General features: G+C 55.4%; 1 protein-coding gene and 2 long non-coding RNA genes across 6 annotated transcripts in view, besides 7 other annotated features; 2 read left to right on the forward strand and 1 right to left on the reverse strand.

Moving 5' to 3' along the window:
• CELSR1 (cadherin EGF LAG seven-pass G-type receptor 1) overlaps positions 1–11,402 on the reverse strand; it is a 176,447-nt gene extending 165,045 nt beyond the window's left edge. For all 4 annotated transcript variants that reach the window (NM_014246.4, NM_001378328.1, XM_047441624.1 and 1 more), the window contains exon 1: positions 7,409–11,402. In NM_014246.4, the coding sequence (NP_055061.1) occupies positions 7,409–10,952 (3,544 nt within the window). In that variant the 5' untranslated portion in view covers positions 10,953–11,402. The remainder of the gene's footprint in view (positions 1–7,408) is intronic.
• Positions 1,998–2,499: an enhancer, noted in NCBI's record as "H3K4me1 hESC enhancer chr22:46924113-46924614 (GRCh37/hg19 assembly coordinates)". NCBI's record gives its function as "activates a minimal SCP1, AML or CMV promoter by ChIP-STARR-seq in naive H9 embryonic stem cells {active_cell/tissue: H9 hESC(naive)}" and the evidence as "EXISTENCE:reporter gene assay evidence [ECO:0000049][PMID:30033119]".
• On the forward strand, positions 15,277–21,979 carry LINC02925 (long intergenic non-protein coding RNA 2925). The gene is made up of 2 exons (NR_186692.1): positions 15,277–16,716; positions 20,470–21,979. It is a non-coding gene; the product is annotated as a long intergenic non-protein coding RNA 2925 (long non-coding RNA).
• Positions 20,420–23,745: an enhancer, noted in NCBI's record as "VISTA enhancer hs1924". NCBI's record gives its function as "enhancer in: heart[15/16]" and the evidence as "EXISTENCE:transgenic organism evidence [ECO:0001131][PMID:17130149]".
• Positions 20,600–21,121: an enhancer, noted in NCBI's record as "H3K4me1 hESC enhancer chr22:46942715-46943236 (GRCh37/hg19 assembly coordinates)". NCBI's record gives its function as "activates a minimal SCP1, AML or CMV promoter by ChIP-STARR-seq in primed H9 embryonic stem cells {active_cell/tissue: H9 hESC(primed)}" and the evidence as "EXISTENCE:reporter gene assay evidence [ECO:0000049][PMID:30033119]".
• Positions 21,122–21,641: an enhancer, noted in NCBI's record as "H3K4me1 hESC enhancer chr22:46943237-46943756 (GRCh37/hg19 assembly coordinates)". NCBI's record gives its function as "activates a minimal SCP1, AML or CMV promoter by ChIP-STARR-seq in primed H9 embryonic stem cells {active_cell/tissue: H9 hESC(primed)}" and the evidence as "EXISTENCE:reporter gene assay evidence [ECO:0000049][PMID:30033119]".
• LOC105373075 (uncharacterized) lies at positions 22,530–27,675 on the forward strand. Its single transcript, XR_938316.2, has 2 exons — positions 22,530–22,805; positions 26,852–27,675. It is a non-coding gene; the product is annotated as an uncharacterized LOC105373075 (long non-coding RNA).
• Positions 24,892–25,393: an enhancer, noted in NCBI's record as "H3K4me1 hESC enhancer chr22:46947007-46947508 (GRCh37/hg19 assembly coordinates)". NCBI's record gives its function as "activates a minimal SCP1, AML or CMV promoter by ChIP-STARR-seq in naive H9 embryonic stem cells {active_cell/tissue: H9 hESC(naive)}" and the evidence as "EXISTENCE:reporter gene assay evidence [ECO:0000049][PMID:30033119]".
• Positions 25,394–25,893: an enhancer, noted in NCBI's record as "H3K4me1 hESC enhancer chr22:46947509-46948008 (GRCh37/hg19 assembly coordinates)". NCBI's record gives its function as "activates a minimal SCP1, AML or CMV promoter by ChIP-STARR-seq in naive H9 embryonic stem cells {active_cell/tissue: H9 hESC(naive)}" and the evidence as "EXISTENCE:reporter gene assay evidence [ECO:0000049][PMID:30033119]".
• Positions 25,954–26,248: a silencer, noted in NCBI's record as "tiled region #3871; K562 Repressive non-DNase unmatched - State 22:ReprW". NCBI's record gives its function as "represses a minimal TATA promoter and a strong SV40 promoter by Sharpr-MPRA in K562 cells {active_cell/tissue: K562}" and the evidence as "EXISTENCE:reporter gene assay evidence [ECO:0000049][PMID:27701403]".
• Positions 27,676–27,903: the final 228 nt, after the last annotated feature.

Raw genomic sequence — 27,903 nt, forward strand, 5'->3', positions numbered from 1 at the left:
GTTACTGTCCTGGCAAACCCGTCTACGAAGCTTGGCCACAGTAGCCCTTTGGGAGACAATGAGGAAGACCTGACACTGCCCACTCCCAAAGCCCCTGAGACGGGCCAGTGCCACGCTAGGCTGCAGGACAGCTAGGTGCTGTGCGTAACCCGCCAACTCTGCTGGGCCTTTAGCTCAGCCTTGTGCAGGCCTGTCCCCATGACACCCTGCCTTCCCTCTGAGGCTGGGTCCTGTTCCCATCCCACTCATGCCAGCAACCTTGTCATTTGCTTCTCAGAGGCACCCCCAAACCACTCCACTCAGATCTCACAGAGGCCACCAAGGACCTGCCCTTGGCTAACCCATCACATCTCTGTCCCCAGGCTCTCCAACCGCCAGACGGCATCCATCACGGATGACCCCCTCGGAGACACTCGCCCTCCCTCAGCCTCCAGGGCCTGCACCCGTGGGCCCTCCCCTGCACGTGGTTATTCCTGCTCCAGCTCCCAAGCAGACTGTTCCCCACCCAGGAGGCTATTCGGGCCATGGCTCCTCAAGGCTGGGCCTGGGTCCCCTCCTAACTGCCAGCACCCTCACTTCTGTGTCCATAACCTGAGCTGGTCTCCCCAGTCTGGACCTGCACACACAATCAACTTCAGGACACTCTCAAAGACGCCCAGCCACACGGGGCCAAAAATGGCCTCACGTCTTCTCACCAAAGCCGATTCCCGGTAAGGACTCTGGCTCAGGGAACGAACCTCTCTCAGTTTCACTCTCATCCTCCCAGAGCCAGTTTTTTCTGGAAGGCACAGACAGGGAACATGCCTTAGGAGCTGCCCGGTCCAGGTTCAAATCCCACTGCTGCCATCACAAGCTGGTGCCCTGGGAGCCCTGTCCTTGGTTTGCTCATCTCTAGGATGGAGGTGGCGACGGTACTTTCCATACCACAGTGTGGCGGCTGGAAAACTGCAAGCGATGGGGCCTGCAGAGCCTGGGAGGGTTCCCGGCACATGGAGCACATCGGCTGAGATGTGTCTGACCATCTAAGCTGGCAAAGCCCTCCTCAGCCACCCCCATGCTGGAGCAAGCATGATGTCCCCAGCTTCCCTCCCCTCCACTCTCACCGCCCAGCAGCTGGGACATGGGACCCAGCTCTTGCCTAAATCCTCCCGAGGGGGCCCACCAAACCCTCCACAGTCAGCCCTCTCTCGACCCGGGGGATCCATCTGACTCCCGGTCTCCCTGCCCATCACACACTGCACACGTCCAGGGGGGTAGAGAAGAGTCCCAGCCCGCCCTTGCCTGCACCTGGTGTCACCACTCTACCCCTGAGCTCAGCCCCCTTGCTCATCGGATGGTCCATCTCCACCCAGCCGCAGAAGTCAGGACCACACTGGCTCTCCCGGCTTTCGCACACAGCAGGTGCTCAATAAACAAACCAACACTCCTTATTTCTGAGGCAGTGTTTCTCAAGGTATGAGCAAGCCACTGTCTCCAGACTTATCAGAGCTCTGAAATGGTTAACTCATTGCCAAAAGCACTGAACTCTCCTGGGAAGGTTTGACACTGGCAGAATCCTGCTTGGCCACTGAAGCAATTTAAGATGGTCCGACCCAGGCTGGGAGCGGTGGCTCACGCCTGTAATCCCAGCATTTTGGGAGGCTGAGGCGGGCGGATAGCCTGAGGTCAGGAGTTGGAGACCAGCCTGGCCAGCATGGTGAAACCCCATCTCTACAAAAATACAAAAATTAGCCAGGCATGATGGCGGGTACCTATAATCCCAGCTACTTGGGAAGCTGAGGCAGCTGAGGCAGGAGAATCACTTGAACCCGGGAGGCAGAGGTTGCAGTGAGCCAAATCATGCCATTGCACTCCAGCCTGGGAGACAGAGCAAGACTGTCTCAAAAAAAAAAAAAAAAAGGTCCGATCCTTCCCTACCCTGTGAGTTCCAGAAAAGCACGCTGCCATGCATCCAGACAATGCCTGAACAGTAGCCCGCCCCTACTTCCTTCTTTGCAATCGTCTGTTTAAAAGCCACTGCAATATCCTGTATTTAACTAGGCAAACACTTAGGGAAGCTTTATCAAGCCTAGACGACTTTATACCATCCACTCTCCACCAAAGTCAACGGCGAGAAGGTTACTCAATCCTGTTATTTCACCGAGTTTCAGTATTTTCTGACATGCCTGAATGACTCATCCGCCAATCATTCTCACCCACAAACGCCACTTTCCTACATCCATGGGTCTGCAACACACACAGCAGGAGAGGCAGGGACATCGCCTTTCTCCCAAGCTCCGCATTCTGCAACAAGAGGCCTACAGCCCTGCACCCACGGACACACACTCAAAGTGAATTAAAAATGACGTGGCCCGGCCACAGATGACTGGAGAAAAGAAATGTGGTACATATATACCATGGTGTACTATTCCACTATAAAAAAGAATGAGGCCAGACGCGGTGGCTCACGCCTGTAATCCCAGCACTTTGGGAGGCTGAGGCGGGCGGATCACGAGGTCAGGAGATCGAGGCCATCCTGGTTAACACGGTGAAACCCTGTCTCTACTAAAAATACAAAAAAATCAGCCGGGCGTGGTGGCGGGCGCCTGTAGTCCCAGCTACTCGGGAGGCTGAGGCAGGAGAACGGCGTGAACCCGGGAGGCGGAGCTTGCAGTGAGCTGAGATCGCGCCACTGCACTCCAGCCTGGGCGACAGAGCGAGACTCTGTCTCAAAATAAAATAAAATAAAATAAAATAAAATAAAAATAAAAAAGAATGAGATCCTGGGCCGGGCACAGTGGCTCACGCCTATAATCCCACCACTTTGGGAGGCCAAGGCAGGTGGATCACGAGGTCAGGAGATCGACACCATCTTGGCTAACACGGTGAAACCCCGTCTCTACTAAAAATACAAAAAAATTAGCTGGGTGTGGTGGCGGGTACCTGTAGTCCCAGCTACTCAGGAGGCTGAGGCAGGAGAATGGTGTGAACCCAGGAGGCGGAGCTTGCAGTGAGCCGAGATGGTGCCACTGCACTCCAGCCTGGGCAGCAGAGTGAGACTCCATTTCAAAAAAAAAAAAGAATGAGATCCTGTCATTTGCAACAACCTGGATGGAACTGGAGGTCATTATGTTAAGTGAAATAAGCCAGGCACAGAAAAACAAATATCCCACGTTCACACTTGCTTGTGAGATCTAAAAATCAAAGCAATTGAACTCATGGGGACAGAGAATAGAAGAATGGTTACCAGAAGCTGGGAAGGGGGTAGCAGGAGGAAGGTGGATGGTCAATGGGTACAAAAAAATAGCTAAAAAAATGAATAAGGCCAGGCACAGTGGCTCACGCCTGTAATCCCAGCCCTTTGGGAGGCCAAGGCAGGCAGATCACTTGAGGTCAGGAGTTCGAGACCAGCCTGGCCAACATGGTGAAACCTTGTCTCTAAGAAACATACAAAAATTAGCTGGGTGTGGTGGCGTGCACCTGTAATCCAATGTACTCAGGAGGCTGAGGTAGGATAATCACTTGAACCCAGGAGGTAGAGGTTGCAGTGAGCCGAGATCATGTCACTGCACTCTAGGCTGGGAGATACAGTGAGACTCCATCTCAAAAAAAAAAAAAGAATAAGACCTAGTATTTAGCCCAACAGTGAGACTACAGTCAATAATAATTTAATTGTACATTCAAAAATAACTAAAAGAGTATAATTGGACTGTTTATAACACAAAGGATAAATGCTTGAGGGGATGGAGACCCCATTCTCCATGATGTGATCATTACACATTGCATGCCTGTGCCAGAATATCTCATGTACCTCATAAATACATACATCTAACCAGGCACAGTGGCTCATGCCTATAATTTCAGCACTTTGGGAGGCCAAGGCAGATGGATCACTTGAGCTCAGAGGTTGGAGACCAGACTGAATAACATAGTGAGACCTTGTCTCTATTACAAATAATTAAAAAAAAAATCAGCCAGGTGTGGTGGTGCAATGAGCTGAGATCAAGGCTGACATGAATCGTGATCATGCCACTGCACTCCAGCTGGGGCAAGAGAGCAAGACCCTGTCTCATACACACACACACACATATATATATACACACACATAAATTTGTGTATATAATTTATATATAATTCATTATAACATATATTATATATTATATATAATTCATTATATATAAATTGTTTTTCAAAAATAAAAATAAAACAAAGAATGTCAATGTTTCTGAAAGACCACTGTCCAGAAAGAAGGCAGAGCACATTCAAGGCTTGAGTTGTCCACTGGGTCATCAGCCACGTTGCCCTGAAAAACGCAAACACAGCCTTTATACAAGCTCATAATAAAAAGTTCCTATCACAGAATTTAAAATCTCATTCAAAAACTATCGCAAAAAATGAACATCTTGTATCGCTGGATGTCATTCAAAACTGGCAGCTATTTGAATTTCACTATCTTCTGACTTCAAAAAATTTTCAAAAAATGTTTTCTCCTTGGTGGGCTACATAAAACCACCAACAACTATCTAGTCACAGTCACAGTGTTCAACCCCACGCCAGGCTAAATGAACTGCCCCCACCACGTGGGCCTTCCCAGGCCCTGCCCTCCGATGCGCTCCTCCCTCCTGGGCTCCTCTGCTGAAAGCTGGCAGCCCTTCCTGGAATGGCTCCCACTAAACGTAGTCGATGGCTGGCCTGTTGCATACAGCACCTCCAGGCTGGTCATATTGCATCAAAGGCTTTAGGGCATGGCTGTAAATCCTGGGGAAGCAACAACACTCCATTGAAAACAGTGGATGAGTTTGAAACCACCGCTTCCCCGCATTGTTCCTTAATAAAACCTCCAGATAATTCAAGGGCTGATCTTTTTGTTTGGTCTGTTTTCTATCCGGTGCTTTGCTGTCTGGAACCATAGATCTTATAGTCAATAGTGATTTACTTATTTGGAGCATTAAATCCTAGTCGAATGGTCTGAGATTTCTGCGCATCCTTTTATTTATTTATTTATTTATTTATTTATTTATTTATTTTGAGACAGTCTCACTCTGTCACCCAGGCTACAGTGCAGCAGTGGGATCTCGGCTCACTGCAACCTCCGCCTCCCAGATTCAAGCAATTTTCCTGCCTCAGCCTCCCGAGTAGCTGGGACTACAGGTGCTCGCCACCACACCAGGCTAATTTTTGTATTTTTAGCAAAGACAGAGTTTCACCATGTTGGCCAGGTTGGTCTTGAACTCCTGACCTCAGGTGATCCACCTGCCTCGGCCTCCCACAGTGCTGGGATTACAGGCATGAGCCACTGCGCCTGGTCATATGCCTGCTTTAAAGCACCCATTTGACCCTGGAATAATTCAGTTTAGCAACTAATTCGTCAAAAATGTTCTCCAAAGGAAGAGAGGGGAATGCGAAGAGCGGGCTGCTTTCTGCGGATCGTGGTTTAACGCCGAGTGCCCCCCACTGGCTGTGCAGTCCTGAGAAGGCCACTCAACACCCCAGGGCCTCAGTGTCTGCATCTGTAAAATGAGCAGCAGCATGACACCACTCAGCTCCCGGTTACCAGGGAAACACATGAGAGCGCAAATAAAAGAGTAAAGAAAACCGCCTGCTGGAACCCAGTCAAAGGTAACCACTGTCATCCGGGTGTGTGTTGGGGCGGTGGTGGTCTGGGGGGTGGTGTGGATGCATGAGGACACAGCACCTGATTTACACGAGAGTACGAGTGTGTCCACAAAGGAGCAGAGCCAATAACTGGATGACTGAGACTGGATGACTACATAGTGTGGAGCCCCCAGCCCATTTTCAACTGTGGTCTAAGCTGCGCCCCAGGTGAGACAGCTCTCAGGAACCAACCTCCTTGGAAGGGAATCCATCCTAAACCCTGCTGTCTGGCTAACAGCGGGGGGGCCCACATTACTGATACCACAGACACACAAAACATCCCTGCCCCCAGCATGGATCTGTTCCCACTATCTCGTCCCTCATTAAATCTAAACCCTATTATTGGGCCAAGTCATTTTTAAATAGGCCAAATTTCCCATTGTGCTTTATCTATAAGATAAAGTGGTATAGAAGAAAAACTTCCTAAGAATATCCATAACCCCGGTTAATTCGCCCTTAAGGGCCTATTCCATATTCTCTACACGTTTACAATCTCACAAACCTAAAATATTCACCGACAAATAGACTGTACTGCCAAAATTGTGCGGAAGGTTTGTATTATACCAAAACTGAACCTGTAAGTTTCACATCTTATAAGCAAACTGTAACTGGAAGCTGTTAGCTATCCAACCCTTCCTATATTACAGAATAACAGCCAACCTTGGAAACGAAACAAATCAGAAAGTTAACTTTTTAATTATTCCAGGGCTCCTGTGGCAAAGTTGTATCCTAATAACTCACTGTTTAAACAATTTCTCTGAAACACTGACTCAAACAGCCAGCCAATCTGAGCTCTTCTTGGCAGTAGTTTGGGCTTATAAATAAGGTCACCTGCCTGCACCAGCATCCTTGGATGCACGGTCAGGCAAACCTCAAAGAGCCACTGGGGGACCTTTACTGTTCCCCCAGGCCCCTCGAAGTTCTTCTCTCTCTTCTGTGTCTCCCAATTCCAACACTTTCTATTAGTCCCCCTCCCCAGCACCGCAGACCAGCCCCGGCACACAGGGTCAGAGGCATAGAGGACCGGCCAAACTTCTGACTGCTGAGCCAAGGTTTCCTCTCCCTCCTGTTCACCTCCAGCCCCAGAGCAGGTGAGCGAGGTGCCCACACTGGCTCCACCACTAACTGGGCAGGCCTCTTCAACAGCACCCAAATTACAAGCCCGCATCCAGGAGCAGAAGCCAAGATCAAATGAGGCTATGCTTTTCAAAGAGCTTGCACAAAGCCCTACACACCTAAGCCCGACTGTTATTATCTGCAGGAGACAGAAAAGCCAGACCAAGGGAACACCGGCTGCATTATAGGGTGACTCAGGGACCCATCTGACAATTCCAACGGTCCCACCCTGGAATTAATTGGCACTGGGAAGGGGCAGTGACCTCTGATCTTCCCAGAGAGCCCTGTGGCTGGCTGACGAAAGAGCATCTCCAAGCAAATCCTGTGACCCAGATCACCTGGAGGCCACTTTTTAATAGCTGTACTCAGGAGCCACTAGCCTGCTGAGGAAGGCGCTGATCCCCGGTCTTGAACTTGGGAGAACCGCAGGCCTGCTCCCAGGAAAATGCTGACGGAAGCGGCGCGGTGCCTCTCCCCCTCGCTGGGCCTAGGCCGGGCGCCCACCCCCAGCATCCAACCGGCGGCAACAAATCCTTGCAGAGTTGCCCGGGCCCGGCCCAATTGCGCCCCGGCATGCCAGGCGGAGCCCTTGGCGGGTTCCTGAGGCTCTCCAGGAGGCCCATCAGGAGCTACTCCTCCCACCCCGACGGCCACTCACCAGACACAGACACCTCCATGAGCGCCTCCAGCGGCCGGTTGTTGTCCAGGTCGCGGCTGAGCTGCAGTTCGCCCGTGGCGGGGTCCAGCAGCAACAGGCGCAGCTCGTTGCCCTGCACGAAGGTGTAGTTGAGGCTGTCTGACACGTCGGGGTCATGGGCCGGGATGCAGCCGATCACGCCGGTGGGGAAACTGTTGGACTTGTTGGTGACATAGTTGTTGAAGAGGATCTGGAAGTCGGGCAGCACAGGCGGGTTGTCATTCTGGTCCACGAGAAGGATGTGCACCGTGGCTCGGCTCACCAGCGGAGCCGACGTGGCCTGCACCACCAGCACATACTCCCGCCGGACCTCAAAGTCCAGCTCCACCATGGCACGCAGGTCCCCGTTGAGCAGGTCCAGCTGGAAGAAATGCCGCATGTCCCCTTCCACAATCTGATACATGATCTGGGCATTAGGGCCTTCATCAGGGTCGTTAGCACGAATCTTTGCCACCACCGACCCCACTGGGTTGTTCTCCTCAACAAACAGCTCCAGTTCGTCCTTCTCAAACATGGGGGCATTGTCATTAATGTCCAAGATGGTCACCTGGATTTCTACCGAGGCGCTAAGGGGAGTGGGACTGCCCCGATCCACAGCCAGAGCCCAAAGGTTGTACACGGCCACATTCTCCCGGTCCAGCCGGCGCTGGGTGCGAATCACACCGGACGTGGGCTCGATGTAGAAGTCCCCATCGCCGTCGTCCCCACCCTGGAAGGTGTACAGCAGACGCCCATTGGGACCTGAGTCCCGGTCCGTGGCAGAGACCTGGAGGATGCTGGTCGAGGGTGGAGCATCCTCAAAGATGGAACCCTGGTAGAAATCCCACAGGAACTGGGGTGCATTGTCATTGGCATCGAGGATGAGGATCTCTAGGGTGGTGGTGTCTGATTTCTGCGGGATGCCGTTGTCCTGGGCCATGATGGTCAGCGTGTAGGCGACCTGGTTCTCATAGTCCAGCTCCATCATGGTGTACATGGTGCCACTGTCGGGGTCAATGCGGAACTGCGGCACGGGGTCCTGAATCACGTAGGTGATGCGGGCATTCTCTCCTGTGTCCTCATCGTTGGCACTGAGGGTAGCAATGGAGGTGCCCACAGGCCTGTCCTCACTGACACTCACTGTGTAATGGGAGCTCTGAAAGACAGGCCTGTGGGTGTTGGCATCAGTGACGTTGATTAGGACATGCGCAGTGTGCGACCGTGTGCCGTCGGATGCTGTCACCGCCAGCACGTACTGCTGCTCCTGCTTGTAGTCCAGAGGTAGCGCCAGGGTGATGAGGCCGCCCCCTCTCTGGCTGCTGAGTGCAAAGCGGTTCCGGGTGTTGCCGCCTGTGAGCTGGTAGGTAATCACACTGTTGGCGTCACGGTCGCGGGCCTGCAGGGTCAGCACGCTGCTCCCCACGGCCGCATCCTCATTCAGACGAAGCTCGTAGGTGGGCTGCGTGAACACCGGGTCGTTGTCATTCACGTCCAGCACCGTGATGGACACGCTGGTGGAGGAGCTCATGGGGGGCGAGCCGTGGTCCACCGCCTCCACCCCGAAGCTGTAGTGCTCCACCTCCTCGCGGTCCAGCTCGGCACACACTGTGATCCAACCGGAGCTGTTGTGGATCTGGAAGGGGAAGTCAGGGGTGGGGGCAGGATTCTTAGGCCCAGCGCTGCCGCCCCCCAGAAAGGTGGAGGCCGTGTCCACCAGGCGATAGTGCAGCCGGGCGTTCTCTCCAGAGTCCGCGTCCACCGCCTGAATGTGCACCACGGGGTAGCCCAGGGGCACATTCTCCAGCACCGTGGCCTGGAAGGGGCTGCTCACAAAGATAGGCTCGTTGTCGTTGACATCCAGCACCTGCACAGACACCACCCCTGAAGAATTGATGAGCGGGGGCCGGCCCCCATCCTGGGCCTTAATGCTCAGCGAGTATTTCTGGACATCCTCGAAATCCAAGGGGTTGATCACATCCAGGATCCCGCTCAGCGAGTGCAGGTAGAACTGGCCGGCCACGTTCCCGCTGAGGATGCTGTAGTGAATGGCCGCGTTCTGGCCCTGGTCCCGGTCCGTGGCCTGCACTCGCAGCACAGCCGTGTTGAGCCCCACGTCCTCGGGCACCTGGACCACGTAGTTCTGCTCGCTGAACTGGGGGTAGTTGTCGTTCTCGTCCTCCACCTCGATGTACACGGTGGCCGTGGCACTGAGCGGGCCCGGATTGCGCCCCTGGTCGTTGGCCTCCACCAGGAGCTGGTACTCGGCCGCCTCCTCCCGGTCCAGCACCGCCCGTGTGCTCACCACGCCAGAGCTCTCGTTGAGCTGGAAGACGTCCCACGCGCCCCCCAACACGCGGTAACGCAAGTTGGCGTTGATGGGCGAGTCGCGGTCGCTGGCGCGGATGGTCAGCACCTCGTAGCCCACCTCCAGGTTCTCCCGCACGCGCTCGCGGTACTCCGACTGCTCGAAGACCGGGCTGTGGTCGTTGGTGTCTTTGACCAAGACAGTGATGTAGGTGGTGGCCGAGCGCGGCGGCGTACTGTAGTCCACGGCTTTCACCCTGAGGACGTGCGTCTCCTTGGTCTCGCGGTCCAGTACGCTGTCCGTGCTCACGGCGCCCGTGGCAGAGTCGATTCGGAAGTAGCCCCGGGAGCGCTCGTCGAACAGCCCCTCCATGTAATAGCTCACGCGCTCCTCCTCGCCCTCGATGGTGTAGTGCGCGTGCAGCTGGAGGATGAGGGTGCCCGCCGGTTCGTTCTCAAACAACGCCACCTGGTAGTTGGGCATCGGAAACTTCAGGCTCCCTCTGCCGCTCGTGCCCCGCCGGGCCCGTCGCGCCGGCCCCGCCCGGGCTTCGGGCAAGTTCGGCGGCAGGGGCGGCGATGGGGATGGCGACGCGGAGGGCGTCCCCGCGGTGGCGGCCTCCAGCGCCAGTCCCACCCGGACGGCGCCAGCCGCGCGCCGCAGGGCGCACAGCAGACGCAGGCGGACCGAGCCGCCCGGCGGCAGGCAGATGGGACGGCCGGGACAGCGGGGCCTGGGGCGCGGCGGGCAGCGGCAGGCGGGTAAGGTGGTCGGAGCTGCGAGCGCCGAATGCTGCGCGGCCGCGCAGCCGCCGGGGACGGGGAAGCAGAGCGCCCCGCAGAGCCGGGCACCGGTTCCGCAGAGCCGGGCACGGGCTCCGCAGCCGGGAAGGTGCGTGCGCGCCCGCAGGCGGCGGCTCAGCGCCGTCGGGGCACTGCGGGCCACCAAGCGGACTTGCAGCGGCAGCGGGCGCCCCGCGCCCGAGACGCGCCGACGTCCTGCCAGCCGCCCATCGCGGCCCACGTCCAGCAGCTCCCGCGGCGCCCGGGGCGTGCAAGCGGCGCCCACCGCGTAGGTACAGCCGGGCCGGAGGGCGAAGGCGCGGGTCCCGCCGGGTACGCGCGGCTCCCAGGCGGCCGCTCGCAGCCCCATCGCCGGCAGGGCGGCGGCGGCGGCCAGGAGCAGCAGCACGGGCAGCACGGGCGGCGGCGGCGGCGCCATGGCCCGGAGCCCGAGCCCGAGCCGGGCGCCCGAACACAATCCATGCACCCGGCGCGCCTCCGCATCCACCCGGCGAGGCCGGGGAGCGGCTCCCGGGCGCCCGGCCCTCGGGGCGGTCCGCGTCCCGCCTCCCCGGGGGCCCTGGCGGGGACTGTGGGGACCACGCGCCCGGCCTCCCCCGCAGCTTCCACTTCGAGAGCACTTTGCGAAAGTTTGCGAAGTTGGTTTCAAGATGGCTCCTCCGCGCGTCCCGGGAGGGCGCCGCGCATCAACCTGCGGCGGCGGCGGCGGCTCCAGGCGGCTCCAGGTGGCTCCGGCGCGGGCTCGGCCGGACGGGCGTGGGAAGCGGGGCGGGCCCGGCGCGGGGCGGGGGCTGAGTTCCCGGAGCGGGCTGGGCAGCTCCGCGCCGCGCAGACCCCGGCGGCCGGCTGCTGCCTGGGCGGTGCGCTTGGCCCGCGCCCACTCCGCCCGCGCTCTCCCCGCCCCCGGCCCGGCCCCGCCCCGCCCCCGGCCCAGCGGCGTATTGTTCGGCCCCGGGGGGAGCCGGCTCGGAGGTGCGCGCCGAGAGGATCGCTATGGAGACGCGAGGGCGCGGCCGGGACGGGGACTGGGGCCCTACTCCCCGGAGGCCTCCCCACCCAGCCTCCCGGTGGGGCGGGGCCGAGGCAACAGGGCCGGGAAAGGTGGGGCTGGGGCCCCCGGTGGCCGCTACCCGTGGGGCGGTGGCTCCGCACCTCGGGCTCGGGGCCGCGGCTCAGAGCCTGGCTCCCCACCCCGGCAGAACAGATCCACGGAGACCGCCGCCAGGAGTGCCGCGCGGGTAGGACCCGGGGGCGGAGGACTGGGGCCGAGAGGCCGGGGAGCCCCCCCCCACCCATTAAGGACTGCGGAGGCTGTCGAGGAGGGTTACCCATTTTACAGCAAGACGCACGGAGGCTAAAATGCTTCACCCCGACTAAAACTCCCTGGACTTTGAAGCCCAATAGGCAGCTACCGGATCTGCGTCCCACTTGGTTTAAAGCGCAACTTTTAAATGAAAGAAGAAAACCCCGGTTGACATAAGGGATTTGGAGAGGACGGCGGAGGCGCGCTCATCTCCCGCGTGCGGCCCGACCCGAGCGTTCGCGGACGCATCGCGGAATCCCCGAGCGTCCGGCTCCTCCCGAAGCGGGTTGCGGGGAAGGCGGGGGGCTGCGGGTCCTGGAAGCTGCCTGGGGCAAGCAAGCACCCGCAGGGATTTAGAGCTGTGCCACAGCCCCTGCCCAGCCTCCTACGGAGGACAGCGGGGGGCGGGGGGCAGAGACCTTAGAGCTTTCAGAAAAGTGACACACACCCCCGCCTCCTGCGGGGAACCACGGGGGGCCGGGGGCAGCTTTAGGTTTGCGTGACGGGTACACCTGCCTCCGGATGGGGCACAGGGATAAAGGGGGTGGAGGCTTAGGACTTGGCGACCCCCCGCATGGGCGGGGCTTTGGGACTGTGCCACCAGCGGCTGGGAAGGGCGCGCACTCCCTTGGTGGCGCTCGGGGCGCCGGAGTCCAGTGCAGCCCTTAGGCCTCCCAGTGGTCGGGGACGGTAGGTGGGGGTCGCCTCTTCTCTCCTAGAAGGGCTTCTCCTGGGGCCGGTCGGAGCGGTGGGGGTGGGAGTAATGCGCAGTCACCCCTAGAACGGGTCTTTTTGGCAAGGGAGGGTCGGATCCTGCAGCCAAATCTCTGAGCTGAGCTGAGATGAGTCCAGTCTCAACGAGGACCGTGGGCGGCTGTGGAGAACCGGAAGGGTTTCTCCCCCGGAGCGATGTGTCTGTGTGTGTGTCACACGCATACTCAGCCAACTTCGCTCAAAGCTGCTGAAACAGTGTCTTTGTGCTGAAGCCCAATGTGAGCATTTTCTTCCCAGTAGCAAGGATTTGAACACGTTATATTGATCTAAAAGGTGGAGTTGCTTTGGAACCTTTTAATTCGAGGTTTCCACTGGAGAGTCCTGTTGGGAAATGTGTGTGTGGAGGGAGGGGAGGAAGGAGAAAAGTCCGTCTCCTTAATGTGAGCGGTCCAGGACCTCCCCACCCGCCATATACCCTTCCACTGGGATTTTTCCGGGAAGGATGAAAGGACAGGAGTTCTGGGGCCGGAAGGCAGGGCGGGTCCCTGAGCCCGGAGCCTCCCAGTGGAAGGCTACTGGGCGGACCTGAAGGGGACCCAGGCAGGAGGAAAAACCAGAGAACCCCAGGAGTGCCTGTTTTGCAATAAGGCTTTAAGCAGAGTGGGTTGGGTTTAAATAAACAAAACTCAGCTGCAGCCAGTGGGTTCAGGTGTGGGCCTGCTTTTCTGGAATAAGGCACCTGCAGGCTGCGAGGTAACCACAGGGACTGCCCAACACCTAGGGACAGGGGAGGATGGATGAATCTCACTAACAGGATGTCCAGCAAAGACAAAAGATCATTCCATTCACGCTTAGACCGACAGCAAGCCCGACTCCACCATAACGTTTAGAGGTGTGCACAAATAGGGGAAAGATGAAGAAAAACAAGGAGGTGATTATGGGCACATTCAGGAGGGCTCTGGGGGAGGAGGGGCATCCCCTTCTGGACCTGAGGGTTACCAGAGTGTCGGCTTCATGATCACACTTTGAACTCCAAACACATGATTTGCGTACTTTTCCCTATGCCTGCATCTAGAGTCGGCAGTTTTTGTTTTTTTTTGTTTTGTTTTGTTTTGTTTTGTTTTGTTTTTTTGAGACAGAGTTTCACTGTTGTTGCCCAGGCTGGAGTGCAATGGCACGATCTCAGCTTACCACAACCTCCGCCTTCCAGGTTCAAGCAATTCTGCCTCAGCCTCCCTAGTAGCTGGGATTACAGGCGTGCGCCTCACGCCCGGCTAATTTTGTATTTTCAGTAGAGACGGGGTTTCTCCATGTTGGTCAGGCTGGTCTCGAACTCCCAACCTCGTGATCCGCCCACCTCGGCCTCCCAAAGTGCTGGGATTACAGGCATGAGCCACCGTGCCTGGCCTATTTTTATTTATTGCTAAATAGAGATGGGGTCTTGCTATGTTGCCTAGGTTGATCTCAAACTTCTGGGCTCAAGAGATCCTCCCACTTCAGCCTCTCAAAGTGCTAGGATTACAGGTATGAGCCACCACACCCTATTTAGAGTCCACAGTTTTATTTTATTTTACTTTATTTATTTTTGAGACGGAGTTTTGCTCTCTCACCTAGGCTGGAGGACAGTGGCGCGATCTCAGCTCAATGCAACCTCCACCTCCTGGGTTCAAGCAATTCTCCTGCCTCAGCCTCCAGAGTAGCTGGGATTATAGGCACACACCACCAGTCCTGACTAATGTGTGTATGTTTAGTAGAGACGGTTTCGCCATGTTGACCAGGCTGGTCTGGAACTCCTGACCTCAGGTGATCCACCCACCTCAGCCTCCCAAAGTGCTGGGATTACAGGCATGAGCCACCGCGCCGGGCCTAGAATCCACAATTTTAAGTAAGTGGGGAGGGGAGAGGGACTAACAAGACGGAGGCCGCAGCTTGTGCTGAGACGGCCAGGTGGTCCGGCCGCATCAGAAATCACGAGTTTGGAATGACTGGCACCTTCGAGGGGTTGAGCTTTAATTCTGCCACTAACTAGTTGTGTGACCTTCGCCAAGGCCTAACTCCTTGTTCTAACTGGACACAATAGTCCTAGACTCCTAGCGTTGTTGAAGGATTAACAAGACAATCTGTGTGAAGCGGTCGGCACAGGGTCTGGCTCAGGCATGGATCTGCCAGTAATAGCATTTACTATTTTCACAGTTGCTGTTTCCTAGCATGAGTTCAAGGCTGCCTCCTCTCTGTCTTCATTATGTGAATTGAATGTGGTCACACATCTGTGTTGGAGCAGAGGCAGGGGCTGCAGCTTTCAGCTGATTTCCCAAGGGGTCTGTACTTGGACACTGATCCAGTCCACCCAATGTGTTTCCAGAAAGTGGAGCTGATTCCTGGAGAGCAGAAGGGATATATGTGGGGCTTTTTGTAAAGGGCAGTGACCTATGTGGTGGGCTTGTCCACTGCCCGAGTCTGCGGCTCCCACAGGTCACTGCCCGGCTCATATCCTTCCCCTTTGGAATTGGCTTGGAGCAGGGTCTCTCCTCCCCGGCCCCTATGTGCCCACCATCTCTGGGGTCAGTGGCCCACTCATGACTCTCAGGGCGGGGAGGGGGCTTGGAGTTCAGTAACAGCACCCTGGGTCATTCTTGCACCTGTCACCCTGAGAGCCACTGACCAGTTTTCTGTGCCTAGAATCGCTGCTTGCGGCCTTTCTCAGGGGCTCAATGGATTGTAATTGATGTTTGTATTTTGCACTTGCCCGGAGGTGTTTCACGGGAAGTGAGCATTTTTTAAAACAAAAATAGAATTTAGAAAAAAAAAAGGCAGACACGATGGATTTCTAGTGTTGTACGTGCTGTAGAAAGCACTTGAAAATGCGTTTTGCCAGGGGCCGCAACCAGAAGCTACATGACTTCTGGAATCTGTTCCTTACACAGTAAATTCCTGGGCCAGTTGGTAAACAGCAAGGAGCCACAAGAAATCACTCATAGGCAAAAGCCGAGTGAGCCCAGGCCAAGCTCCACTTTGTCCACTTTGCCCTATTTTTGGAATTCAGGGGGAAACATCTTGGGAGCAGGCCCATTGCACCCCTCTGCCTCCTCTCGATGCCTTACAGTTGGTGGGGTTTGACACATGGAAAATTGTGAAAGTTAGAACACGGAACAAAAATGAAGCCTCAACATAGAGTTAATAGAGGCAAGGGGCTACAGAGAATTTAGATCCTAATCAAGCACGTCTTATGTACTAGCGCTTCCCTGGAAGGCCAGGATAACTTTATGACTACAAAGAAAACATGTTTTCCTGCTTGGAAGTTGCCAGAACTTGTCTAATATAAAAGCTGGGATTTCTTGCCCGTGGGCTGTCGCGTACGGCTACCCAGGCCGCCTCGTGAAGCCTCCTCCTGGGAGCTCGGCGCCCTCAGGTGCTCCCTGAGATGCCAGCACCTGAACGACCTGCTCCAGGGAGGCTTTAGCCCCAAGAAGGTTCTGGAAAGCTCCAGGAAGTTTAGCCGGCACGCACAAAAGCCAGAGACAAATCTCCAGCCTGCCTGGAAATGCTGTGGGCTCAGGGCAATGGGCTGAGGTCTTGTGTCCAAAACTGCTCTTGCATCTCCCTGGGGAGCCCGGGTGGGCAGGAACAACAAGGTCCTGTGGCCATGCCCTCGCCCCATGCTCACCCACACTGCCTGTGCCTGCTGGGCCCATCTCAGGGCTGCACTGGCCCCTAGTGGCCAAGCATGGGCTCTACCCCTCTGCGCCTGCCTGGCTGCCTGTGCAGGTGCCCACCACACTGTCCCTGAGCAGAGCAGAGACCAGCCTGAGCCCCGGGCTCCGTGGCTACCATGCTGAGAGTGAGCCCTGTGCATGCACACACACTTACGATGCTGCTGGCCCCGAGCAGTGGCCGGCCACACGGGCTGCTAGTCATACTGCCCGCTGCTCCTGGGACTCCTGAGCCCCTCACTCTCTATAGGGTGAGGATGCCCAGCTCTGCAAGACACACAGCAAACGGAGCCTCAGAGTGCACAGCGTGGAGATGGGGCTCCCCCCACAGGCTGCACCCCCATCTAGTCCCGGGGAACGAGAATGAAGGGCCTACCTGAGCACACAAGCCCCAGGAGGGCATGGGAGCTGCATTTGGGGGCAGTGACTGGGAGGGCTGCTGACTCCAGGCTCAGGTAAGGGAGATGCACGTGTTCCCGGAAGAGGGTCCACACCTGCTGAGTTCACGCTGCTGAATATCCTTGCTCCTATCACTATTATTATCATTGTCGTGGTCGATCTTGTTTCCTGGCCCCCACCTGATGCACATAAACGTTATCATGGAGCCAATATGGGGGAATATTGTCTCACTTGATTACTGTTCTTTTTTTTTTTTTTTTTTTCTGAGATGGAGTCTTGCTCTATCACCCATGCTGGAGTGCAGTGGCACAATCTCGGCTCACTGCAAGCTCCGCCTCCCAGATTCACACCATTCTCCTGCCTCAGCCTCCTGAGTAGCTGGGACTACAGGCACCCGCCACCACGCCTGGCTAATTTTTTTGTATTTTTGGCAGAGACGGGGTTTCACCATGTTAGCCAGGATGGTCTTGATCTCCTGACCTTGTGATCCGCCCGCCTCAGCCTCCCAAAGTGCTGGGATTACAGGCGTGAGCCTGCGCCCGGCCCTGATTACTGTTTACTGATTACTGATTACTGTTCTTCTTTACATACCTCCCTCCCTTTTTATTTCCCTGAAACTGGGTCTCACTCTGTCACCCAAGCTGGAGGGCAGTGGCATGACCACAGCTCACTGCAGCCTCAAACCCCTGGGCGCAAGTGATCCTTCTGCCTCAGCCTCCTGAGTAGCTGGGACTACAGGCACATACCACTATGCTTGGCTAATTTTTTCTTTTTAATGTTTGTAGTGACAGGGTCTTGCTACATTGCCCAGACTGGTCTCAAACTCCCAACCTCAAGCTATCTTCCCTCCTCAGCCTCCCAGAGTGCTGGCATTACAGGCATAAGCCTCTATGTCTGGCCTTATTTATTTATTTATTTATTTATTTTTGTTTCACTCTTGTCACCCAGGATGGAATGCAATGGCACGATCTTGGCTCACTGCAACCTCCAACTCCCAGGTTCAAGCGATTCTCCTGCCTCAGCCTCCCATGTAGCTGGGATTACAGGCATGCGCCACCACACCTGGCTAATTTTTTGTACTTTTAGTAGAGATGATGTTTCTCCATGTTGGTCAGGGTGGTCACGAACTCCTGACCTCAGGTGATCCACCCACCTCAGCCTCCCAAAGTACTGGGATTACAGGCATGAGCCACTGCGCCCGGCAAAACCTGCATTTTCTTGCACCATCTCTATCTCTAAGAGAAGTCTGAGTGACCTACATTTAAGTTCTCAAGTTAAACTATTACATTTCCCTGCAACCTTGGTGCGGTGGCTCACGCCTGTAATCCCAGCACTTTGGGAGGCCGAGGCGGGCGGATCATGAGGTCAGGAGATGGAGACCATCCTGGCTAACACGGCGAAACCCTGTCTCCACTAAAAACACAAAAAAATTAGCCGGGCGTAGTGGCGGGTGTCTGTAGTCCCAGCTATTCGGAAGGCTGAGGCAGGAGAATGGCGTGAACCCGGGAGGCGGAGCTTGCAGTGAGCCGAGATCGTGCCACTGCACTCCAGCCTGGGTGACAGAGTGAGACTCCGTCTCAAAAAAAAAAAAATGAGATCAAGGGCCAGGTACGGTGGCACATGCCGGCAATCCCAACACTTTGGGAGGCCAAGGTGGGTGGATCACTTGAGCCCAGGAGTTCAGGACCAGCCTGGGTAACATAATGAAACCCCATCTCTAAAAAAAAAAAATTTTTTTTTTTTTGAGACGGACTCTCACTCTGTCCCCAGGCTGGAGTGCAATGGCGCAATCTCAGCTCACTGCAACCTCCACCTCCCGGGTTCAAGCGATTCTCCTTGATCTCCTCCTCAGCCTCCTGAGTGGCTGGGACTACAGGTGTGCACCACCACGCCCAGCTAATTTTTGTATTTTTAGTAGAGATGGGGTTTCACCATGTTGGCCAGGATGGTCTCAATCTCTTGACTTCGTGATCTGCCCACCTCAACCTCCCAAAGAGCTGGGATTACAGGTGTGAGCCATTGCACCCGGCCCAAAAAATAAATGTAAAAAGAAAAAAAAAAGGAGACACACTTCACATATCTTAAAAATTACCCACTTTAAAGTGTACAATTCAATGCTTTCAGTATAGTCACAGAGTTGTGTAGTCATCACCGCTATCTAATTCCAGAACATTGGATCACCCCAAAAAGAAGCCCCAAAGTCATCATCAATCCCCTGCCAGCCCCCAGCAACTGATAACTGGCTTCCTGACTCTATGGATTTGCCTGTCCTGGGTGGTTTGTGTCAGTGGAGTCACACACTGTGTGGCCTCTTGGGCCTGGCTGCTTTCTCAGCATCACATTTCACTGTTCCTGCACATTGGGGCATAAATTGGTGCTTCCTTCCTTTTGAAGGCTGAGTAACGTGTCACGCTGTGGATACACTACAGTTTGTTTATCTACTCATCAGCCAGTGGGGATTTGGGCTGTTTCCACTTTTGGACTCTTTTGAATACCCTCCCTTCCTTTTGAGTGGAGAAAAAAGGGCAAGACATTCCCTCTGCAAAATTGCACACAAAATCTTTTTTAAAATTATTCTTTTTATATTTTGGCATTGTAACTACTACTAACCATGCTGTCATCAACGGCTCAAAGAGGACTTTCCCTGGGGACTTTCCTCTGCCCCTGCTGGGTATAGGGAGGAGCACTAAAGTTGCCCTGAGGGCCAGGCACGGTGGCTCATGACCGTAATCCCAGCACTTTGGGAGGCCAAGGTAGGTGGATCACCTGAGGTCAGGAGTTCGAGACCAACCTGGCCAACATGGTGAAACCCCATGTCTACTAAAAACACAAAAATTAGCTGGGCGTGGTGGTGCGCACGTGTAGTCCCAGCTACTCAGGAACCTGAGGCAAGAGAATTGCTTGAACCGGGGAGGCAGAGATTGCAGTGAGCTGAGATCAAGCCACTGCACTCCAGCCTGGGTGACAGAGCGAGACTCCGTCTCAAAAAAAGAAAAAAACTGTTCTGAGGTAGGATTGGCAGATTGGGGGTGGGGGAAGCCAGTGGCCCCTACTTTTCTGTCCCCTCCTAACACGCTCACCCACCCCCTGATGCTGTTGCTGGACAGGAGGGCCACCCACCGCAGCAGCCGTGAGTTGATGACACTCTGCCAGCCTGGCCTTGTCCTCCCTGGCCCCCCGCTTATGTCCTGATTGGAATGGGGAAGCAAGAACAACCACACTTGAACCACCCACTGTCTCCTTTCCTTCATGCACATTCAGCCATTCATTCAATATTCATTCAATACCGTGGTAGACATGGACACCCCTCCCCCCACAGAGAGATTATTGTCATGGGAGAATACAGACAGTACATGTCAGATTATTTTTTTCTCTTCCTGAACTTGCAAAACTTTTCTGGGGTGCAAGAGAGATGGGCAGGTGATTGTGGGCAAGAACGATTCTACAGGAATGGGAGAGACCCAGAAAAGCTAGAGACAGTGTCAGCATTCTAATTATTATTATTGGTTTTGTTTTTGTTGTTTTTTTTGAGACACAATCTTGCCCTGTTGCCCAGGCTGGAGTGCAGTGGTGCGATCTCGGCTCACTGCAACCTCCGCCTCCCCGGTTCAAGCGATCCTCCTGCCTCAGCCTCCTGAGTAGCTGAGATCACTCCCGGCTAATTTTTTTGCATTTTTAGTAGAGATGGGATTTCACCATGTTGGCCAGGCTGGTCGCAAACTCCTGACCTCAAGTGATCCGCCCCGCCTTGGCCTCCCAGTGCTGAGATTGCCGCATCCTAATTATATCATTGTATCTTCTTTTTAAAGATTAAAAGACAGACGGCAACACTGGGGTTGCAGAGCTCAGGAGCCAGTCCTGGCCCCCTGCCTCCTCCCTCATGAGGTTCCCCTGATCCCCAGGACATCGGCTTCCACATCTGCACATCTGGGAGACAAATGCACCATCAGGGAGGGCAAATCATACCTGGGAAGGGCCTGACTCCAGCAGTTTCAGCAGTGGCTGAAAGATCATGGCTATTTTTGCCATCATTACAATGGAATGTCCACTCCCTCCAGCCACCTCCACAGCAATCAACACCGGTGTCCAGCCACTCTACATGGACGTGTGGGGAACAGAGCACAGGCCTCTTGGCTTGGCTGTGGTCACCGGGAGGGAGCAGGGAGGGACAGCTGCCAAGAGGATGGGGGAGGGAGCCTGCTACTCAGGAACGCTGGGGCAAGACATGAGACAAAGGGCTGCCTTCACCCACCAGTAGGAGCCTGACCCTGAGCCCAAAGAAACTGCCCACCTGTGTGCTGACCCCAGGGCCTGAGGACAGGTCCCCAAGTGGACGTCTCAAAGAGAGTCCCACATTCCAGGGCACATGGGAACTATGGCCTTCTGGCAGCTGGAGGGCAGCAGGAAGGGCACAGCTGTCTGAGACCCGTGTGGCTTCCCAGAAAGAGGTGCCACCCCTGAGGAGGCACCGGTGCTCACGGACTCCTGGTTGCCAGTCTTGCCAGGGCAAAAAGGCAAGCGAAGGAAACCCTCTCTTCGTGGGGCACTCTGCCTTGCAGTGTCAGGTGAGATCCCGGGGGGAAAGCTGGCTTGAGCTCCTCTGGAATGTGCAGGGAGGACTCCGTCAGGCCCGGCTCTGCCTCCAAGCTGGGCAGCAGGCGAGCCCCAGAGCTCCACCAGCCCCACTGGCAGAGGAGGGCCCTCACGAGGCAGGAGCCCATGATTCATGCCCTGCTGGAATTTGTCGAGCATGCCGAGATTTGCAGCTCCTCCGAGATTGGGTCCTGCCCTGATCAAAAGAAAAGAAGATGGATGAGGACACTATAAATAGGCCAGAGCCACCCAGCTGGCCTCGGGGATGCAGGCGGTATGTGTTCTGGGCTCTCACGAAGCTAAGAAACTCTAAATCCAAGGTGACATCGTGGCACACCGCCACCTGCTTCAGGGGGACACAGGGGACAAGGAGGAGCTATTGGCAGAGCGCTCGGTTCCTGCAAGTTCCAACTTCTGCTAAAATTGGTTAATTGGTTCCTTTGCATGATTCAGGGCACACAGGCTTCTCTGTCCACAAAATTTGCTCGCCTGCACACCCAGAGAAATGGACTTGGCTTGGTTTTTCTGAACTTTTGCCTCTGCGGAATCAGCAGTGGACGTGTGAGCTGGGGCCTCTGTCCCTGTCATGTGAGGAGGTCAGGCAGGACAAGCAGGAAGCACTGGGCAATGAGTCAGGAGGCCTGGTGGGGAGCTTGGGTGAGTCTGTTTTCCTCTCTGGACCTCAGTCTTCTCCTCTGGTTGATGTAATAAAATCCTACAAACTGAGTCTTTTTTTTTTTTTTTGAGACAGAGTCTTACTCTCTCACCCAGGCTGGAGTGCAGTAACATGATCTCAGCTCACTGCAACCTTCATCTCCCGGGTTCAAGCAATTCTCCTGCCTCAGCCTCCTGAGTAGCTGGGATTACAGGCATGCACCACCATGCCCGGCTAATTTTTGTATTTTTAGTAGAGACAAGGTTTCACCATGTTGGCCAGGCTGGTCTCGAACTCCTGACCTCAGGTGATCCACCCGCCTTGGCCTCCCAAAGTACTAGGATTACAGGTATGAGCCACTGCACCCAGCCACACAAACTTAGTGTTTTGTTTTGTTTTGTTTTGTTTTGAGACAGAGTCTCGCTGTGTCGCCAGCTGGAGTGCAGTGGCGCGATCTCAGCTCACTGCAAGCTCCACCTCCTGGGTTCATGCCATTCTCCTGCCTCAGCCTCCCGAGTAGCTGGGACTACAGGTGCCCACCACCACGCCCGGCTAATTTTTTTTTTCTTAGTAGAGACAGGGTTTTACCGTGTTAACCAGGATGGTCTCGATCTCCTGAACTTGTGATCCGCCCGCCTCAGCCTCCCAAAGTGCTGGGATTACAGGCGTGAGCCACCACGCCCGGCCCAAACTTAGTCTTAAAGTTAACTTAGTCTTAAACAAGATGCTGATTATCTGCTGGTTGCGGAGGTCAGCGGTCTGAGATGGCTCTCTCTACATCTCTACATGGGTGAACGTCACAATGTCTGCCTTGTTGGGGTCAAGCCAGGTTCTGCTGGGAAGCCAGTGCTCGTGGTCTGCCAGAGTCCAGGACGGGGCTGTGCAGTCGGCAGGAGGGTGAGTGATCCATCAGTGTCACTCCTGGCCAGGGTGTTCTGGGAGGAGAAGGGGGGCTTTGTTTGAGTGGAAGCCAGGAGCATTCCCAAGGCTGGCCTTTGGGGGGTACCCACTGTGACCCCCAAATCCTCACCACACTTCAGAGATGCTTCCTGAGGCCAAGACTGGGGCAAAGCTGCTTCATTTCATCTGGGCCATGCACCATTGTTGGGGGCCTGCCTGTGCCCAGCCCTGTGCTGGACTCTGCCCCTAATTTTTCAGATATGTGGCCCGCCCTTGGTAAGTCCCGTCTGCTGTGCTGGGGAGACAGACATACACACATACTCGGTCAAATACTGTGGAGCAAAACCAAGGGACAGGTCACTCTAGAGAGACAGTGAAGGGGGGTGTCTGTGAAAGCTGTCCAGGGTAACTGGGTTTTGAAGGTTCTCCAGGCAGACAAGAATGTTGAATTCCAGCCAAGGGGAAAAACATATACAAAGACCTAGAGGAATCAAACAGACTCTGTGTGGCAGGGGAGAATTTGTGACTATAGGCAATTTAATATTACTGAGGGGTGAAATCGTAGGGGTGGAGAGTAGGGTGGGAGTTGAGGCCAGAGGTAGGCAGGGGTGGGTTAAGGGGTCTGGCCTTTGTACTGCAGGCACTGGGGATTTTCAGCTGTAGAGGGACAAGGTCAGCTGTGCATCTGAGAGCATGGGTGGCTGGAGAAGAGCAGGGGTCGGGGAGGAGACCAGTTGAGCATAGAACCAGAGGCCCATGGTGAGATGTTGCCGGAGGACACAGGTGAAGAGGCGGCTTTCCATCCTGAAAGGATGTCTGCCCAGCATAACACACAGGGCACCAGAACCCACCCACAATGACTCTGGCCAGCCAAGAGGTGGGTTACCCCAAAGTCCCACCCAGGAGCTTCTTTGGTGGAGGAGGGGACTACTGTCCCCAGGCTGCCAGTCTCAGAGATAACGAGAGTTCTTGTCTTTCTCATAGTCAGCAGTTCCAACATTTGAGAGTCACTGCTCACCCACCTGCAGTGATGAGGGGGGTTGAATCTCTTTGTTTCTGCCTCTGTAAATGTGGACACCTGGCCCCTTTACTGTGGCAATACTGGCGGGTGAAGCCCCCCAACCCGTGTGGAGAAGGGGCTCCGAGAGGCCCCCGCTCCCGCACCCCAGTCAGGTGAATATGATCGTGTCCTTTTGTGATCAGCGTGGGGACAGCAGCAGGAATTAGAGCAGTGGGACAGGCACCAGCACCCACTCCTTCAGGCCGGGCTTTCTCCCCATCTCCCACCCCGTTCACTCCTGCAAGGGGCTCTTCTCTGGCCAGTGAGGCGAAGGCCAGAGGAGAGGGGTGGGGATGCCTATCCTGTCCTACCTGCCTTCACCGCGGAGCAGGGCAGTCGGGGCCAGTCCATGCGGCAGGTTCTGCCTCCCGGGACAAGCCCAGAGCCAGGCAGCCTTTCTCACTGGGTCCGTCTGGGTGGGCTCCTGGAGGTGGGGATGGCATCTCCAAGGAAAGGACTGGAGGTGAGGCTTGTGGAGGGGAAGGCAGACCTGGGGCAGGAGGGAGGGATTCCAGAAGCTTCTGGATGGGAGGTGGACTGCAGGGAATGTGGGATCTCCCCAGAGAGAGGCCAGACATCCCCGGTGTCGGGAGCTGGGCCATGGAGGGGGAGTTTGGTGAATGCCCTGGCCATGGCCCAACAGGACAGAGCTTTGGCTTTAGTGTAAATCAGAATCTCCCCTCTAATTTTGGGGTGTGGACATGGTAACAAATTGGGGCTCTTCCGGGAAATAAGAGGGGGACGGACCCCACATTTCCAGGGTCCAAAAAAACTCTACCTCCCTCTATGCCCCACATGCCCAGAGAAGGTGTAGCTTCTCTGCTTTGCCTGTAACCCTCTGAGTGTCCTCCTGAGCCCCTTCTGCTGGGCAGTGGGCACAAAACGAGGCCAGCCCAGCTGGGCACAGTGGCTCATGCCTGTAATCCCAGCACTTTGGGAGGCCGAGGTGGGCAGATCATGAGGTCAGGAGTTTGAGACCAGCCTGACCAACATGGTGAAACCCCATCCCTACTAAAAACACAAAAATTAGCCAGGCATGGTGGCATGCGCCTGTAATCCCAGCTACTCAGGAGGCTGAGGCCAGAGAATCACTTGAACCCGGGAGGAGGAGGTTGCAGTGAGCCAAGATCACGCCATTGCACTCCAGCCTGGGCGTTCTGAGTGAGACTCCATCTAAAAAAAAAACAAAAAACAAAAAACCGAGGCCAGCCCTGTGACATCAGACCCCAGATCCCTCCCCTCCTCCACTGCCGTCTCTCCAGTTTCTGGGTGCTTGAGGGGATGATGTGGCTTATGTGGCCGCCTGGTGACAGGGGTTCTCAGGGCCTCCAGCCTGAGTCTCTGCCTCCTCATCCTCCAGCCTGCTGTCCCCTGAAGGACCCATGTCCCGCTGTCCTGGCTCCCGCTGGCGTTGGCAGGTGGGGGGCTAGGGACAGGTCTCCTGGCCTCAGCTTGCCCTAGAACTTGGACCCTCCATCTGCTACCCCCTGCTCCCATGCTGCTGCAGGCCCCGACAGTCTCCTAGCCGCTTCTGGGTCCCAGGAATGCCAAGCCCCTAGCCTCCAGCTCTCTGGCCACACGGACCACATTGCACAGGCTGGTGCTGGAGCAGCCCATGAGGCCATCTCCGTCTGGGGAGCAGAATTCTGACACGGACCCAAAAGGAGCTTTGTGGCTCTCTGCAGAGCTGATGGCCCAGGAAGCATCTCATTTTTAAAGCAATAATGCCACTAGATGGACAGAGCTGAGGAAATGCTACATGGCCGGGACAGGCGAGGGTGGGTCCAGCAGCTGGAAGCCCCCTGGATCGAGGGCAGTCCTCCCGTGGGGCTGTGGGGAGACTTCTCCCTCTCTCCCTCAAAATGGCCTCCCTTAGCCCCTGCCTTTCTTCTTCTTCCTCTCTCTGAGCTGCTTTGCCTGCTTCTCCAGGCACCCTGTCATCGGCCAGAGCTCCTGGGCTCAGCTCTCTCCCCAGTTCAAATGAACGGCTCCTGGCGAACGAGAATCTTGTTTCTAATTCCCAGTTCCCAAGCTGGCCTGGTCTGTGTGAAGCAGCTACATGGTCAAGTCATCAGCGTCAGACAGGGTCATGAGACTACACATAAAGGTGTTCACCGAGGGCTGCACGGGGCCCGAGACCCAGCCCAGCCTGGCTCACCCAGCCCGGCTACCTGGCGTGGGCTGGCTGCTGCTGGGAAGGGCCCCTCTCAAATGCACACAGGCACAACGGCAGCTGATGACAAATGGCTCCACTCCTTCCTGCCTTCACGCCTTCTGCAAGGTGACATTTCAGCTCATGGGAAGGTGGGAGCTATTTCCCCACCCCTGCAATCTGGCAGATGGCCTTATGATTTGTTCTGACCATACAGTGAGGCAGAAGTGATGTCAGTTCTGAGCCTAGGCCTTAAGTGCTCTTCTGCCCTTCAGGAGCCCTGTGTGCCAGAGGATGAGAGACCACATGGAGCCGAGAGCAGCTGTCCCAGCTGAGGTCCCAGGAATGTGAGCCCAGCTAAGACAGCAGAGCCATGTCGCCAACCCTTAGTGACCTCAGAAGTGAGCCCATCTCAGATCAGCAGAGCCACTCAGTGGGCCTGGAGGCTCACGGGAAAGAATTAATGGTTGTGTTTGAAGCTATTACATTTGGGGGAGTTTTGTTACACAGCAATAGATAACTGATACAGACATCCCATGGACTATCTCTGAGCATCACATACTAAAAATGTGACTGCAGGAGCAGTTAATCAGAGAAGCAGGGTCTCACTGTAACTCAAACAGAGACCCCCAGCTGTGGCTATGGCCTCTCCAGAGGAGAAGAGTCATAGTGGTTAAGACACATAGACAGAGCCTGAAGGCAAGGTTCACTGTGTGGCAGCCAATCTCCAAAGGTGGCCCCAGGGAACCATGCCTCCTGGTGTTTCCACCCTTGTTTAGTCCCCTCCCACACAGAATCTGGATTGGCCCTAACCCTCACATTAACCAACAGAATGCAGTGAAGTGCCACTGTGCCAGTTCCAGGCCTGAGACTTAACAAGACCCAGCAGCTTTGGCCTGTGCGTTCTCAGGAGACTGCTGCCACCTAAGAAGTCTGACCAGCCTGATGGAGAGGGGCTACCCAGAGGACATTGAGGGTGCAGAGATGTGAGTGATAAGTCATCTTGGACATTCTGCCACCATCTGACGGCAACTGCATGAGAGACCACAAGCAGAAGAACTACCCAGCTGAGCCCAGCCAACCCACAGAACCCTGAGAAATAATAACGAAGTGTTGTTTCAATGGTGTGTTTGTTACGCAGCAATAGGTAGCTGGTGCACTCTACTTACCAGCCAAGGGTTCTTGTGCAAGTCATTTGCGTGAACTCTACTGCACTTTGCAAATGGGGGTGATTCTCACTAATCTAAGCCAGGAAAGTCTACCTGCTCACCCTGGGTATCATGAAGAACAGCTTTAGAACAATACTTTAGTTCCCTCTTACAAAGCCATAAAGGTTCCAGAAATGTGAGGTTCAGACTCAGAGAACCCAGTAATCTATCATCCCAAATACACATCCGAGAGGGTTGTTCCCCTCTTGAAGGGTCACCGGCAGCTCCTCATCTCTGGACCTTTCTGGGTCTGCCCTGCCCACTAGTCAGCCCCATCTCCCATCCCCCACTGGCCCCTTCCCCAGTTTGTACATTTGACAACGTATGACTTGGTGTTCTAGCTGCGGCTCAAATGCTGCCTCCTCTGACACCTTCCCTGTCCTCTGGGCAGGCTAGGGTGCTCCTCATCTGTTCCCACAACCACTGCATCATGCATTACAGCTGTCACTGTCCTGTATTACTGTCTCCCTAATGATGACCCCAGAGGGCCAAGACCAGCTCCTTCCACTGTGTGGCACTGAGCAGAGGGTCAAATACAGAGGGAAGATCAATAAGTACTCCTGGGCCAGGTGAGGTGGCTCACACCTGTAATCCCAGCACTTTGGGAGGCCGAGGCGGGTGGATCATAAGGTCAGGAGATTGAGACCATCCTGGCTAACATGGTGAAACCCCATC

Source organism: Homo sapiens, chromosome 22 (genome assembly GCF_000001405.40).
Source record: "Homo sapiens chromosome 22, GRCh38.p14 Primary Assembly".
In the NCBI taxonomy this organism is placed as follows: Eukaryota; Metazoa; Chordata; class Mammalia; order Primates; family Hominidae; genus Homo; species Homo sapiens.